We start from the raw sequence: 16,619 nt of genomic DNA, 5'->3' as shown, positions 1-16,619 counted from the left end.
CTGTATGATATATACTTTATATATACACTGAAAAGCTTTAAAGATAAAACACGTAGAAAGTACCAATTAGAACCATCAATTATTTTATTGCAACAAACTTTAATACACTATTTAATTATATCTGACACAGTAATAACCTCCATTTAGAAAGGAAGAAGGCAAATCCTGTCAGCCACAGAAGCCAGGGAACACTACCTTGTTACTCATCTGAAAGCAGTAACGGCTGCATTTTTAACTATGTGCGGGCAAAAATCCCACAAACACAATGACCATATAGGAGTAAATGAATTAAAGAATGAATAAAATGTATATGTATGTGTTTATGAATATATCTTTCTACCTAAGCAAAGGAGGTGATGACAGTCAGGTAAACAGATAAATAAAAACCAACATTTTTAAAGCACTTACTACTATGGTTTAGGTTCCTTTAATAATTCAATGGTCAAAAATATGAGATATTATTATTAGCTAATAATATTAGCTTCAGCTGGGCGTGGTGGCTCATGCCTGTAATCCCAGCACTTTATTATTATTATTTATCTATTTATTTTATTTTATTTTTTTGAGACAGAGTCTCGCTCTTTTGCCCAGCCTGGAGTGCAGTGGCATGATCTCGGCTCACTGCAAGCTCCGCCTCCTGGGTTCATGCCATTCTCCTGCCTCAGCCTCCCAAGTAGCTGGGACTACAGGTGCCCGCCACCACACCTGGCTAGTTTTTTGTATTTTTTTACTAGAGACGGGGTTTCACCGTGTTAGCCAGGATGGTCTCAATCTCCTGACCTCGTGATCCACCCGCCTCGGCCTCCCAAAGTGCTGGGATTACAGGCGTTAGCCACCGTGCCCGGCCTATCCCAGCACTTTGGGAGGCTGAGGTGGATGGATCACTTGATGTCAGGAGTTTGAGACCAGCCTGGCCAACATGGTGAAACCCCGTCCCTACTAAAAATACAAAAATTAGGTGTGGTGGTAGGCCCCTGTAATCCTAGCTACTCGGGAGACTGAATCACGAGAATAGTTTGAACCCAGGAGGTGGAGGGTGCATTGAGCCGAGATTGCACCACTGCACTCCAGCCTGGGCAACAAAGCAAGACTCCATCTCGAATAATAATAATAATAATAATAATAATAATAATAATAATAATAATAATAATAGCTTCATATTACAAATTAGATAAAAAAGACCCAGACATGCAAAATAACTTACCCCAAGTCACAGGGCTACAAATAAATAAGGTTTACCTGCTTACCAAATATCTACTATTTCCATCCACCAACGTATGGTAGAGCCACTCATATGTAGTAGGTTTTGTTCTACTTTTTTTGAGTGGTAGATTTAACTTATTAATATATATTTAAAACCTACGCCATCAAACAGAAGACAAGTAAAAGTTTCTATTACAGTTGATGAATGCTGAAAGAATGACAGAATTAAAGTATCACTGGACATCAGTCATAGTTAACTGCTGCTAACCTCACAAGATGGAACAACTAATGATGAACACACAAACACAACCACCTAGGAAGTAGTCTAATCATTAAAAAATAAAAATCAACTTTCAATGTGATCAAGGCTCTATATCCAACTATCATTTAACGTGGGAGGAAAGAAGAACATGTTAAAACATACCACAAAAGATGCATGCAGCAAAAGTCAGACTGTAGGAAATATTACATGACAAAGACCTGGTTTCATCAACAAATAAATTGGAAGAAAATGAAAAACAGATGAACCTGTACATTAAAAGAGACATACGGATCTTTTTAAGATCCTGATACAAACAAATTATTAAAAAATAGTAAAAATTATTAAATTTTGAGAAAATTAGAAATTTGGAAATTGCATTTTGGGGGGGTCAGTTTTTTTGGATAATGTTAAAAGAAATTTGGAGTTATTTTTTAGGTGTGATAATGGTATTTCTGTGATTTTATTTTGACATCCTTATCTTTTAGAGGTATAATATGAAATATTTATAAATGGAAAATAAGTCAATAATTTGTTTCAAAATAATAAGAAGTTGGGGGACAGTGAAGTGGGATGTCAAGTGAAGATGGCAGGCTTTCTCAGGGCCAGACAGTAAATATGTTAGGTTTTGAGGGCAGTGTTGTCTCTGTATCAACTATTCAATTCTGTCACCGTAGCATGAAAGCCATAGACAATACCTAAAGGAAAGGAATGGCTGTGTGCCAATAAAACCTTATTTATAGTAATAGGCAGTGAGCTGGGTTGGCCCATCAGCTGCAGTTTGCTAGCCCTTGGTATAAATAAATCAAGACTGATAGTGAGGTGATAATTATCAAAGCTGAGAGAAGAATAATTAGAAGTTCATTATGCTCGGCTGGGCGCGTTGGCTCACGCCTGTAACTCCAGCACTTCGGGAGGCCGAGGCGGGTGGATCACGAGGTCAGGAGATGGACACCATTCTGGCTAACATGGTGAAACCCTGTCTCTACTAAAACTACAAAAAAATTAGCGGGGCGTGGTGGCGGGTGCCTGTAGTCCCAGCTACTCAGGAGGCTGAGGCAGGAGAATGGCGTGAACCTGGGAGGTAGAGCTTGCAGTGAGCCAAGATCACGCCACTGCACTCCAGCCTGGGTGACAGAGCAAGCGTCCATCTCAAAAAAAAAAAGAAGTCCATTATGCTCTTCTGTTTTTGTATATGTTATACGTTTTCTTTATGTTAAAAAGCCTGGACCACATTTTCAATCACTGATCTATTTCTTTCTACAAATTAAAGTTTCATTGAACACACATTTCCAATACATCCCACATCAAATTATACATTAATTGATACCTAGAAGTTGTAAGCGGTCCTTGGCCATAACCAAATTAGTCATCATTTTAGCTTGAAGGCGTCTAGCTCTTTCACACTGTTCACCTGAAAGAAAAAAATTAATTAAAATATCTACATTTCCCAACTAATATTGTTTCACGATAAATTATCACCCAAACTACTTTCATGGGGAGTCACAGTCTTTATACAGAAATTTTTTTTTAAAAAAAAGAAGAAAATGTATACCCAAAAGAAAGAAAACAGAAGAAATTTTAAAAATACTATCTTTAGGCCAGGTGTTGTGGCTCACTTCTGTAATCCCAGCACTCTGGGCAGACAAAGCAGAATCACTTGAGCCCAGGAGTTCAAGACCAGCCTGGGCAACATAAAGAGATCTGGTCTCTACTTAAAAAAAAAAAAAAAAAAATTAGCCGAGCATGGGAGGGTGAGTTGCAAGGATCACTTCAGCCCCAGGAAGTGGATGTTGCAGTGAGAGGTGACCACATCACAGCATTCCAGCCTGGGCAACAGGGTGAGACCCTGTCTCAAAGAATACATATAATACCTATAAAAAAAAATAGTTACAGTTTCTCATGATGATTTCCAACCTACTGTGGTATTTCATAGATTTCAGGTCTTATTTCATGGGGTCTAAAATATTTTTTCCCCACGTTTCAAAATCTTTGAAATTGGGATTCATTTTACAACCAATGCTAACTTACTAATGCTATCCACCATGCTGCAGTCACAACATAGCTTTTCATTGCCCATGCATGCACCAATTTGGTCACAGATATTAATATTGTTGTTATAACCATATCTAAATAAAACTAAAACAGCCTCTTCAATAAGATTAAAATTCAAATTCTAAGTGATGAAAAGAGCATATATCATACTTTAATTAAATTGTTTTTTACTCTTACTGGTATAATACAAGGCATTTTTAATTAAATGAAATACTGTTTTGCTTTTCTTTCTTTCTGAGACAGAGTTTCACTCTTGTTGCCCAGGCTGGAGTGCAATGGCGCGATCTTGGCTTACCACAACCTCCGCCTCCTGGGTCCAAGCAATTCTCCTGCCTCAGCCTCCCAAGTAGCTGCAATTACAGGTGCGCGACACCACGCCTGGCTAATTTTGAATTTTTAGTAGAGACAGGGTTTCTCCATGTTGATCAGGCTGGTCTCGAACTCCTGATCCCAGGTGATTCGCCCACCTCGGCCTCCCAAAGTGCTGGGATTACAGGCATGAGCCACTGTGCCTGGCCCAAATACATTTATTAAGATAAATACAATCTGGCTGGGTACAGTGGCTCATGCCTGTAATCCCACAACTTTGGAAAGCTGAGGCAGGAGGATCACTTGAGGCCAGAAGTTTAAGATCAGTCACAGAAACACAGTGAGACCCTGTCTCTACAAAAAAATTTTTTTTAATTAGCTAAGTGTGGCCCACAGTGGCTCATGCCTGTACTCCCACCACTTTGGGAGGCTGAGGTGGGCAGATCACTTGAGATCAGGAGTTCGAAACCAGCCTGGCCAACGTGGCAAAACCCCATCTTCACTAAAAATACAAAAATTAGCTGGGCACGGTGGCATGCACCTGTAATCCCAGCTACTCAGGAGTCTCAGGCAGGAGAATAAATAGCCTGAATCCGGGAGGCGGAGATTGCAGTGAGCCGAGATTGCACCATTGCACTACAGCCTGGGCAAAAGAGCGAGACTCTGTCTCAAAAACTAGTAATAATAATAATAATAATAATAATAATAATTAGCTAAGTATGGTAGTGTGCGCCTGTGGTCCCAGCTACATGGGAAGCAGAGGCAGGAGGATCACTTGAGCCCAGAAGTTTGAGGTTGCAGTGAGCTATGATCACATCACTGCACTCCAGCCTGGGTAACAGAGGAAAGACCCTGTCTCAAAAAAAAAAAAAAAAAAGAAAAGAAAAGAAAAGAAAGAAAGAAAAATAAATAAATAAATAAATAGATCTGAAATCTGGACAATCATGTGAATATATCATAATTTGGGATGGCTATAAACAAATACAATCTTACCTTGTCCTGTAACTATAACAGCTATTCCTTTTTCCAGTTCTTCAATACCTTTCTTATACCATTCCACAGCTTGCTCCTTCTGTCCTGCTTTAAAATAAAAAATTATTTGTATAGATCGTATGAAGAGTACACTAAATATTGCAAATCATGCTGTTGAGAGGTAATACATAAAAAACAGGGTTGTGAACAAGTCTGAGAAACATTACTATATAACTTCTTAGTATTTTTATCATTGTAATGTGTATATGTAACTCCATTATGGGGAATATGGTCATGATGTTTATCAACATTTTGGGGCCGTGAGTCCTATTTTGCTTATCAGCCCATGGTATTGATCCTTATAACCTAAAATGCTGTATTACAGAAAGACATTTTATTTAGGAATTTTTAAGTATATATACTTTTGAAAAATACAAATATGATTTCAATAACAATGAAACAAAAAGCATTGTTTAATCTCATATTCAAATCTGATATAATGTGTTCATTGCTGGGTACCTCCTCTCTAGAGGAAGTTTTTATTTAACAATTGATTGCATCATGAGAACTGCTGTATGAGATTACAAGTGTGGCATTTAATAACACATTTCTATTTTCTTTGAACCCAACAACTAGTTTAAAACATTAATTCCTGATACAAGTTAAGCTTTAAAAGGACCTAAAAACTCAGCATAATCAAAAAGTATGTAGAATAACTTCTGTAAAGTGATCGTTATACTCAAATCACATATTTGAAAATTAATTTTTTGTTTTATTTCTATTATTTTTGAACATTTGTCTGAATGAAAATTAACTTCTTAGACTTTTTTTCTTTTTTTTTTGAGACAGAGTCTTGCTCTGTCACCTAGGCTGGAGTGCAGTGGTGCAATCTCGGCTCATTGCAACCTCCCCCTCCCGGGTTCAAGCGATTCTGCTGTCTCAGCCTCTGGAGTAGCTGGGGTTACAGGTGTGCACCATCACACCCAGCTAATCTTTGTAATTTAAGTATAAAGACGGGGTTTTCACCATGTTGGCCAGGCTGATCTTGAACTCAGGTGATCCACCCGCCTTGGCCTCTCAAAGTGCTCAGATTACAGAGGTGAGCCACCGCGCCCGGCCTCATTTTTTTTTTTTTTTAAACAGAGTCTTGCTGTCACCCACACTAGAGTGCAGGGGCACAATCCTAGCTCACTGCACCCTCCAACTCCTGGGCTCAAGTGATCCATCCTCTTCCCTTGGCCTCCCGAGTAGCTAAGACTACAGGCATGTGCCACCACACTTAGCTAATTTTTGTGTATTTCTTTTGTAGAGATAGGGTCTTGCCATGTTGCCCAGGCTGGTCTTGAACTCCTAGGCTCAAGTAATCCTCCTGCCCTGGTCTCCCGAAGTGCTGGGATTACAAGCCTGAGTGACCACACCTGGCCTCATGTCCCCATTTAATCAAACAAAAATTTCCATACTATTCCTTATTATTATTTGAAATTTCAAAATCAATATAATACAATGACTCTTGATGAAACAGACGAAGTCTATTTATTTATTTATTTATTTATTTATTTAGATGGAGTCTCTCTCTGTAGCCCAGGCTGCAGTGCAGTGGCACGATCTTGGTTCACTGCAACCTCCGACTCCCTGGTTCAAGCGATTCTCCTGCCTCAGCCTCCCGAGTAGCTGGGGTTACAGGCACGTGCCACCACACCCAGCTAATTTTTGTATTTTTAGTAGAGACGGGGTTTCACCATGTTGTTCAGGATAGTCTCGATCTCCTGACCTTGTTGTGATCCTCCCACCTCGGCCTCCCAAAGTGCTGGGATTACAGGCGCTCACGAGCCACCGCACCTGGCCACATGAAGTCTTATTATAAACACCACACAAAGTGACTAAGAAATGCCGTCTCCTTATGACTATGTACTACCTCCCCGATTCTTCTGTTTCTTCACCCTGAAAATAACTAACCATATTCATCCCCTTAAACAGGTCAATTTCTTATGTTATAGAATTATCAGTATTATATACTACGGCTGGTTGACAGTAGGTGCTCAAAAAGTACTTGATAAGGACATGTAAAGAAAAGTTTATGAAGACTGGGCACAGTTTGCTCACGCCTATAATCCCAGCACTTTGGGAGGCCAAGGCAGGAGGACTGCTTGAGCCCAGGAGCTCAAGCCCAGCTTGGGCAACATGGTGAGATTTTATCTCTACCAAAAAATTTAAAAATTAACCATGATTGGGGATACACATCTGTGGTCCCATCTACTTGGGGGACTGAGGAGAGAGGTCACTTGAGCTGAAGAGGTAGAAGTTGCACTAAGATGTGATTGTACCAGATTGTACCATTGCACTCTAACCTGAGCAAAAGAGCAAGACCCTGACTCAAAAAAAAAAAAAAAAAAAGAAGAAGAAGAAAAAGAAATTATTAAGAGTTTGTTATAAATTAACTAAAATTATTTGGATGCTCACCTTCCTGTTTTCCATAAAGAAAACACCTGTTTACATGTATTTTTGTTTTTTAGTTTGAAAAAGGGAAAATTATAGAAAATAGTGTAATAGCACTTGTATTCTGAGTGGCAACAAAAGTGATAACAATGTCATATTTGGCTTAAAATTTTAAAAACAAAATGAGTACAATGTAACAGATACAAAAGAAGTTCCTTTTTTAGTGCCTCTTCCCATTCCCATGCTCCTTCCCTTTTTTTTTTTTTTTTTTTTTTTGAGACGGAGTCTCACTCTATTGCCCAGGCTGGAGTGCAGTAGGCATGATCTCGGCTCACTACAACCTCCATTTCCCAGGCTCAAGTGATTCTTGTGCCTCAGCCTCCCAAGTAGCTGGGATTACAGGTGTGCACCACCACACCTGCCTAATTTTTTGTATTTTTAGTAGAGACGGGGTTTCACCATGTTGGCCAGGCTGGACTCAAACTCCCGACCTCAGGTGATCCGCCCGCCTCAGCCTCCAAAAGTGCTAGGATTACAGGCATGAACCACCACAGCCAGCCTCAACCATTTTTTCTATTATTAAGATATTGAGGTTGTTTCCAGTTTTTCAACATTTCAAACAATGCTGTAACATTTTTCTACCTGTCCCCTAATGCATACCTGCAGTTTCTTTAAGATATATGCTTAAGAAATAAAAGTAGGCCAGGGGCGGTGGCTCATGCCTGTAATCCCAGCACTTTGGGAGGCCGAGACGGGTGGATCACGAGGTCAGGAGATCGAGACCATCCTGGCTAACACAGTGAAACCCTGTCTCTACTAAAAATACAAAAAACAAATTAGCCAGGCATGGTGGCGGGCGCCTGTAGTCCCAGCTACTCCGGAGGCTGAGGCAGGAGAATGGCGTGAACCCAGGAAGCAGAGCTTGCAGTGAGCCACTGCACGCCAGCCTGGGTGACAGAGCAAGACTCTGTCTCAAAAAAACAAACAAACAAACAAAAAAGAAATGAAACTATTGAGTCATAGTTTGTCACATTTTCTCTATTCACCAGAAATCAACAAACTGCTTTTTAAGATTGCTTATTCCAGCTGGGCACGGTGGGTCATGCCTGTAATCCCAGCACTTTTGGGAGGCTGAAGCGGGTGGATCACCTGAGGTCAGGAGTTGAAGACCAGCCTGGACAACATGGCGAAACTCCACCTCTACTAAAAATACAAAAATTAGCCGGGCATGGTGGCATGTGTCTGTAGTCCCAGCTACTCAGGAAGCTGAGGCAGGAGAATCACTTGAACCTGGGAGGCAGAGGTTGAGGTTGCGGTAAGCCAAGATCATGCCACTGCATCCAGCCTGGTCAACAGAGCATGACTTCATCTCAAAAAAAAAAAAAAATATATATATATATATATATATATATAGTATATATAAATATATATAGTATATATAAATATATATAGTATAAAAATATATATACTCTATATATAGCATAAAAATATATATATATATATATATAGTAGGCAGAGTCAAATATAAGTATTGCCAAAGAATTAAGACATAATTGGCAAGTAAGCGTATAAAAAGATGCTCCACATCATTAGTTGTTAGGGAAGTACAAATTAAAATCCAAAGATACAACAATGCACCCAATTTTGAATGGCAAAAAAACAAAAGAACATAAAAATACCAAAATATTACGAGACAAAGGGTAATGGACCTTTCATTATGTTTGCTGGTAGGAAACAAAATGGCACCCAGTTGGAAAAACAGTTTGGTAGTTTCTTATGACATTAAACATATATTTACCACATGAGTCAACAATCTCTTCTTCTACATATTTACCCAAGAAAAATGCAAACTTCTAAGACCTGTACATGAATTTACAGTACCTTTATTCATAAAATTTAAAAACAGGAGGATGGGCATGGTGGCTCACACCTGTAATCCCAGCATTTTGGGAGACCAAGGAGGGAAGAGTTCAAGACCAGCCTGGCCAACATGGTGAAATCCCATCTCTACTAAAAATACAAAAATTAGCTGGTTGTGGTGGCGGGCACCTGTAATCACAGCTACTTGGGAGGCTGAGGCAGGAGAATCACTTGAACCGGGGAGGCAGAGGTTGCAGTGAGCTGTGATTGCGCCACTGCACTCTAGCCTGGGCAACAGAGCAAGACTCCATCTCAAAAAAAAAATTAATTAATTAATTAAACAACAACAACAACAATAACAAAAACAGGAAACAACCCAAATCATTTAGTGAATGGAGTAACAAATTGTGGTATCTCCACACGTGGAATACTATTCAGCATTAAAAAGAAACAAACTACTGACATATGTAGGAAAAGGGATAAATCTCAAAAATATTATGCAAAGGGAGAGAAGCGAGACACAAAAGGCTACATACTACATGCTTCCATTTATATATGACATGCAGTGAAGATAAAACCATAGGGACAGATCTGATTTTTTTTTTTTGAGATGGAATTTCGCTCTTGTTGCCCAGGCTGGAGTACAATGGCACGATCTCAGCTCCCTGGAACCTCCGCCTCACAGGTTCAAGCAATTCTTCTGCCTCAGCCTCCCAAGTAGCTGGGATGAAAGGCACGTGCCACCACGCCCGGCTAATTTTGTATTTTTAGTAGAGACGGAGTTTCTCCATGTTGGTCAGGCTGGTCTCGAACTCCTGATCTCAGGGGATCCACCTGCCTCGGCCTCCCAAAGTGCTGGGATAACAGGCATTGAGCCACCGTGCCCAGCAGATCTGATTTTTAACAAACATGATATTCCAACATTTAATGTATAAGAATATCCATTTGGGCTTGGATTATAACATCAGCACTAAAATTTTGATTACTATAGTAAGATTAGAAGAGAACTAGAGCCAGGTGCGGTGGCTCATGGCTGTAATCCCAGCACTTTGGAAGGCTGAGGCAGGCGGATCACCTGGGGTCAGGAGTTCGAGACCAGCCTGGCCAACATGATGAAACCCAATCTCTACTAAAAATACAAACATTAGCTGGGCGTGGGGGTGGGTGCCTGTACTCCCAGCTATTTGGGAGGCTGAGGCAGGAGAATCGCTGCTTGAACCCAGGAGGGAGAGGTTGCAGTAAGGGAGGTCGCACCACTGAGAGAGACCCTGTCTCAAAAAAAAAAAAAAAAAAAAAAAGAGAGAGAACTAGAAAAAAAGTTTTAAAAACATCTGTTTGAAGGGATTAGTGAGTTTCCAAAACAATGAAAATTACCAAAATTTAGAAAGGAGGGACCATATCAAGCCCATTAGGATGGTTATTATTTTAAAAATTATCGAAATATAAAAAGGAGAGAAGCCAGCAGAGATGAGCCCAGCATTTGGAGCACTTTTCTTTCCTTTTTTTTTTTTTTTTTTTTTTTGACAGTGTCTCACTCTGTCGCCCAGGCTGGAGTGAAATGGTATGATCTCGGCTTACTGCAACCTCTGCCTCTCGGGTTCAAGCAATTTTCCTGCCTCAGCCTCCTGAGTAGCTGGGACTACAGGCACACGCTACCACGCCCAGCTAAGTTTTGTATTTTTAGTAGAGACGGGGTTTCACCATGTTGGCCAGGATGGTCTCGATCTCCTGACCTCGTCTACTTGAAGTGACTGTGAACTCTGAAAGTGGTGGAGAAAATAAGCAAAGCTTTCAGTGGACTCATGCAACTAAACAGACAAAAAATGAATTTCAGAGCATGCCCAGGAGAAGCTGTGGCAAAAGATTTTGGCTGGGACCCTGAATGAATGAACAGTTAAGAACTGAGCCACAGCCAGGCGTGGTGGCTCATGCCTATAATTCCAGCACTTTGGGAGGCTGAGGCAGGTGAATCACGAGGTCAGGAGATCAAGACCATTCTGGCTAATACAGTGAAGCCCCATCTCTACTGAAAACACACACAAAAAAACGCCAGGTGAGGTGGCTCACGCCTGTAATCCCAGCACTTTGGGAGGCTGAGGCGGGTGGATCATGAGATCAGGAGTTCGAGACCAGCCTGGCCAAGATGGTGAAACCCCATCTCTACTAAAAACAGAAAAATTAGCTAGGCGTGGTGGCGCACGCCTGTTGCCTCAGCTATTTGGGAGGCTGAGGCAGGAGAATCACTTGAACCCAGGAGGCGGAGGCTGCGGTGAGCCAAGATCGTGCCATTGCACTCCAGGCTGGGTGACAAGAGCGAAACTCTGTCTTGAAAAAAAAAAAAATTAGCCAGATGTGGTGGCACGTGCCTGTAGTCCTAGCTACTCTGGAGGCTGAGGCAGGAGAATCACTTGAAGCCAGGAGGCGGAGGTTGCAGCGAGCTGAGATCGTGCCATGGCACTGCAGCTTGGGCAACAGAGTGAGACTCCATCTCAAAAAAAAAAAAAAAAAAAAAAAAAAAAAGAACTGAGCCAGACCATACAAGAACTGAAACCCATATTCAAATTATTTCAATCCCTTAATGTAGGGGTTGGCAAACTACAGCCCATAACTTACACTGATTATCCTTTAGATACATTTATAGCAGAAAATCCAATCTTCCAATGGTCTCCAGTGCACAAAAGGCCTCCAAAATCCTTTAACATTAGCTCCCAACAGTCCCTAGTTTCTCATAGACATTTCTCTTTTAACTCTATGACCCCATATAACACTCAAATTCAACCAACCAGACTACATCAAATCAAGAAAGAATTTGGGTGGCAGAAACTTACAACCACTTGTAGTTTAAATTATTAGCCAATAGTGTAACTACATTATCTAATGCATGCCTTAGCAAACTATGGACTAAGATTAAATCTAGTAAGCTGCCTATTTTTGTACATAAAGTTTTACTGGGTCAATCTTACCATGTGACAGGGTTGAGTAGTTATGCTGCAGAGCTTAAAATGTTTACAAAATTGATAAACATAAAAACAACCCAATTAAAAAATGGGAAAAGAACATTAATAGACATTTTTCCAAAGAAGATACACAAATGGTACATAAGTACATGACAAAATGCTGAGCATCATAAGTCATTAGAAAAATACATGCAAATCAAAATCACAACGAGATACCACTTCATACCCTTTAGGATGACTATTATTTTAAAAAATGAAAAATAACAAATGTGGAGAAACTGGAACCCTTGTACACTGCTGGTGGGAATGCAAAATGGTGCAGCCCCTATGGAAAACAGGTTGGCAGTTCAAAAATTTAAACAGAAAGTTACCATATAATTCAGTAATTCTACTCCTAGGTATATATCCAAAAGTATTGAAAGCCGGGACTTAAACAGATATTTAGACCAATGTTCATAGCCACATTATTCACAATAGATGGAAACAATCCAAATATCCATTAATAAAAAACGTGGGCTGCACACAGTGGCTCATGCCGAGGCAAAAGTGGACTGACTGAGCCCAGGAGTTAGAGATGGTGAACCACATGGTGAAACCCTATCTCTACAAAAAGTACAAAAATTAGCCAGGCATGATGGTGCACACCTGTGGTCCCAGCTACTTGGGAGGCTGAGGTGGTAGGACTGCTTGAGTCCAGGAAGAGGAGGCTGCAGTGAGTTGATTGTGCTACTGCACTCTAGCCTGGGTGACAGAGCAAGACCCAATGTCAGAAAAAAAAAAAGCAGGGGTGGGGTGGCGGGTGTACATGAGTTGGAAAAAAACGAAAAAATACTTTTTTTTTTAGACTGGGTCTCGCTCTGTCACCCATGCTAGAGAGCAGTGGTATGATCTCACTGCAACCTCCGCCTCCTAGGCTTAAGCGATTCTCCCACCTCAGCCTCTTGAATAGCTGGGACCACAGGTGTGCACCACCACACCTGGTTAATTTTTTTCTAAAGACAGGGTCTCTCACTATATTGCCCAGGCTGGTCTTGAACTCCCGGGCTCAAGTGATACTCCCACTTAGCCTCCCAAAATGTTGCGATTACAGGCGTGAGCCACCGCACCCAGCCTAAAAACACAGTTCTAATCAGTGATATCCCCCTTTGCTTTACTATATTCCTCTATTAGCCACTTATGAGGTTTTGCAGATTGTAAAGACTAAGAGGTGGAGCATGGTGGTTCACACCTGTTCTCTCAACACTTCGGGAGGCTGAGGTGGGCGGGTCACTTGAGCCCAGGAATTCAAGATCAGCCTGGGCAACATGGTGAAACCCCATCTCTACCAAAATAAAAATAAAAATTAGCCGGGCGTGGTGACATGTACCTGTAGTCCCAGCTACTTGAGGGGCTGAATGGGAGCAGGAGATTGAGGCTGCAATAAGCCATGTTCTTACCACTTCACTCCAACCTGGGTGACAAAAACAAACAAACTGAAAAAACACAAGGAAGATCAAATATATTGAAATGAAAAAAATTCCAAAATATGGTAAGTGAAAAAGATTGCAAATTGTTTTGCATATTTTTTTCTCTGATGAATATTTATGTTTATGTAAGTACAAAAAGTTAAGAAACTTATTAGTAATCATTTCCCTTATGGTAAGGTTAAGGAAGATTTTCAAGTTCTATACTTGTGCACTATTTTACTTCATTTTTTAGAGACAGGGTCTCACTCTGTCACCCAAGCTGGAGTGCAATGCCATTATCATAGCTCACTGTAGCCTTGAAATTCTGGGCTCAAGCAATCCTTTCACTTCAGCCTTCTGAGTAGCTGGGACTAGAGACATGCACCACTACACTGGGCTAATATTTTTTAATTGTTGTAGAAATGGGGCCGGGCACAGTGGCTCACACCTGTAATCCCAGCACTTTGGGAGGCTAAGGAGGGTAGATCACTTGAGGCTAGGCGTTCGAGACCAGCCTGGCCAGCTTGGCCAGAAACTCCATCTCTACCAAAAAATACAAAAATTAGCCAGGCATGGTGGCACATGCCTGTAATCCCAAGCTACTTGGGAGGCTGAGGCACGACAATCACTTGAACCTGGGAGGCAAAGGTTGCAGTGAAAAAGAAATGGGGATCACGAGGTCAGGAGATCGAGACCATCCCGGCTAAAACGGTGAAACCCCGTCTCTACTAAAAATACAAAAAATTAGCCGGGCGTAGTGGCGGGCGCCTGTAGTCCCAGCTACTTGGGAGGCTGAGGCAGGAGAATGGCGTGAACCCGGGAGGCGGAGCTTGCAGTGAGCCGAGATCCCGCCACTGCACTCCAGCCTGGGCGACAGAGCGAGACTCCGTCTCAAAAAAACAAAACAAAACAAAACAAAACAAACAAAAAAAAAAAACAGAAATGGGGTCTTGCATACCCAGGCTAGTCTCGAACTCCTGGCTTCAAGTGATCCTCCTGCCTCAACTTCCAAAAGTGCTAGGATTACACGTGTGAGCCACTGCACCTGGACTGCATTATTTTTTAGTATGTTACTGTAGAAACAACAGAAATGCTGATATTCATCTTTAAATAGAGGTAAGAGATATGCGTAACAGATTAACTTGCAAATTATCTACTGTACGTTTTCTTTCAAATATTAGTGAGACCCAGATTGCCACAAGAAGGGTCAAAACATGGGTAGCTTGGGGTAGAGTGAGAGGATATGTGTTTGCAAGTATGTGAGTTAGAAGGCAAAGATTTAAGTCCTTGTTCCACCATTTAATAGCAATATGATTTTGGAAAAGTCAGTTAATCTGTCTGGGCGTCAAACTCCTTACCTGAAAAGCAAGTATTTCTTTTACCTAACTCTGACTTGTGGCAAAAATCATATAAAATAGGGTATATGATGATACTTTAAGTAATAAAGTGGTATGGAAACACTACTTTTAGTATCTTTATTATACTTAGTAAATTTGTTGATTAACTTAAATCCTCCTTCTCCTGAACTGTGTGCACAGTTGTATGTTCCTGACATTTGCTCATCTATGTTATATAAAGCCCACCAGTTTTACTTATCTATTTAATCCTTAAGTATTCTCACACAAACCATTCCAAGGAACAAATATATCCATTTTCCTACAATTTTCTGATGGCAACTTGCAAGTGACAAAATTAGCAGAGTAATAGATATCTAAAAATCTCAATTAAAGCCGGGCGCGGTGGCTCACGCCTATAATCCCAGCACTTTGGGAGGCCAAGGTGTGTGGATCATGAGGTCAAGAGTTCGAGATCAGCCTGGCCAAGATGGTGAAACCCCATCTCTACTAAAAATACAAAAATTAGCCAGGCATGGTGGCAGGCGCCTGTAATTCCAGCTACTTGGGAGGCTGAGGCAGGAGAATCGTTTGAACCTGGGAAACAGAGGTTGCAGTGAGCCGAGATTGTGCCACTGCACTCTAGCCTGGGCGACACAACGAGACTCTGTCTCAGAAAAAAAAACAAAAAACAAACACTCAATTAAGCCAGGTATGGTGGCACACACCTATAGTCCCAGCTGCTTGAGAGTCTGAAGTGGGAAGATCACTTAAGCCAAGGAGCTCGAGTCCAGCCTAGGCAACATATAATGAAATGGGAATAGTCCATTTCATTTAAGGACTACTGATTATGGCCCCTGTTCTCAAAGAAAAAAAAAAATCTCCTGGTAGACTTTCATGGTGTGTTAATCCCCAGCAAACTACATGGACCACAAAGCATTATAATCACTGATTAATTCAGGGATGAATTACTAATAGCCCCTGATTAATTCTCTCATAGTTCACCATTAGAGAAAAAGTGCTTTCTACTATAATTTGGTAAAAAAGACCCAGTGTGATGGCTCATGTCTGTAGTCCCAGCACTTTGGAAGACTGAGGTAGGAGGATTGCTTGAGGCCAGGCATTCAAGACCAGCCTGGGTAATACAGTAGGACCCTGTGTCTACAAGAAAAAAAAATTTAATAAAACATTTAGTAAAAAGATTGTATTTGCTTTCACTAGCAAACATTTATTTTCAAGGTAAAGAATTATTTTCCCTGTTAATTTGGAAAGTTTTAAACCCTATGTAAAGACATCATTCTAGTTTTTGACATTTTCTTTGACCCTTAAAAATGTCACCTTATTTATCTTCTTCAAAAAATTTCTGTGGCCAGGTGCAGCGACTCACGCCTATAATCCTAGCACTTTGGGAGGCCAAGGCAGGTGGATCACACGAGGCGAGGAGTTCAAGGCTAGCCTGGACAACATGACAAAACCCCATCTCTATTAAAAATACAAAAATTAGCCAGGCGTGGTGGCGCGTACCTGTAATCTCAGCTGTTCGAGAGGCTGAGGCAGGAGAATCACTTCAACCTGGGAGGCAGAGGTTGCAGTGAGCCGAGATCACACCACTGCACTTCAGCCTGGGCGACAGAGCGAGACTCTGTCTCAAAAAAAAAAAAAAAAAAAAAAGAGCATTTTGAATTTTTCATTAAAAAAAAAAAAAAAAGCCAGGAGTCTGGGAGCAGGGCTCACGCCTGTAATCCCAGCACTTTGGGAGGCCAAGGAGGGGGGATCACTTGAGCTCAGG

At 41.0% G+C, this 16,619-nt stretch overlaps 1 protein-coding gene across 5 annotated transcripts in view; it reads right to left on the bottom strand.

Annotated features, from left to right (window-relative positions):
• Nucleotides 1-16,619, bottom strand: part of SPAST (spastin) — a 94,082-nt gene that overhangs the window by 65,240 nt on the left and 12,223 nt on the right. For 3 of the 5 annotated variants that reach the window (NM_014946.4, NM_199436.2, NM_001377959.1), the window contains exons 2-3: nucleotides 4,820-4,906; nucleotides 2,793-2,876 (exon numbers count right to left, since the gene is read on the bottom strand). In NM_014946.4, coding sequence (NP_055761.2) covers nucleotides 2,793-2,876; nucleotides 4,820-4,906 — 171 coding nt within the window. The remainder of the gene's footprint in view (nucleotides 1-2,792; nucleotides 2,877-4,819; nucleotides 4,907-16,619) is intronic. The other 2 variants (NM_001363823.2, NM_001363875.2) reach the window with 1 other exon arrangement.

This window comes from Homo sapiens, chromosome 2 (genome assembly GCF_000001405.40).
Source record: "Homo sapiens chromosome 2, GRCh38.p14 Primary Assembly".
NCBI lineage: Eukaryota > Metazoa > Chordata > Mammalia > Primates > Hominidae > Homo > Homo sapiens.
This window is presented reverse-complemented; position numbering and strand designations above follow the sequence as displayed.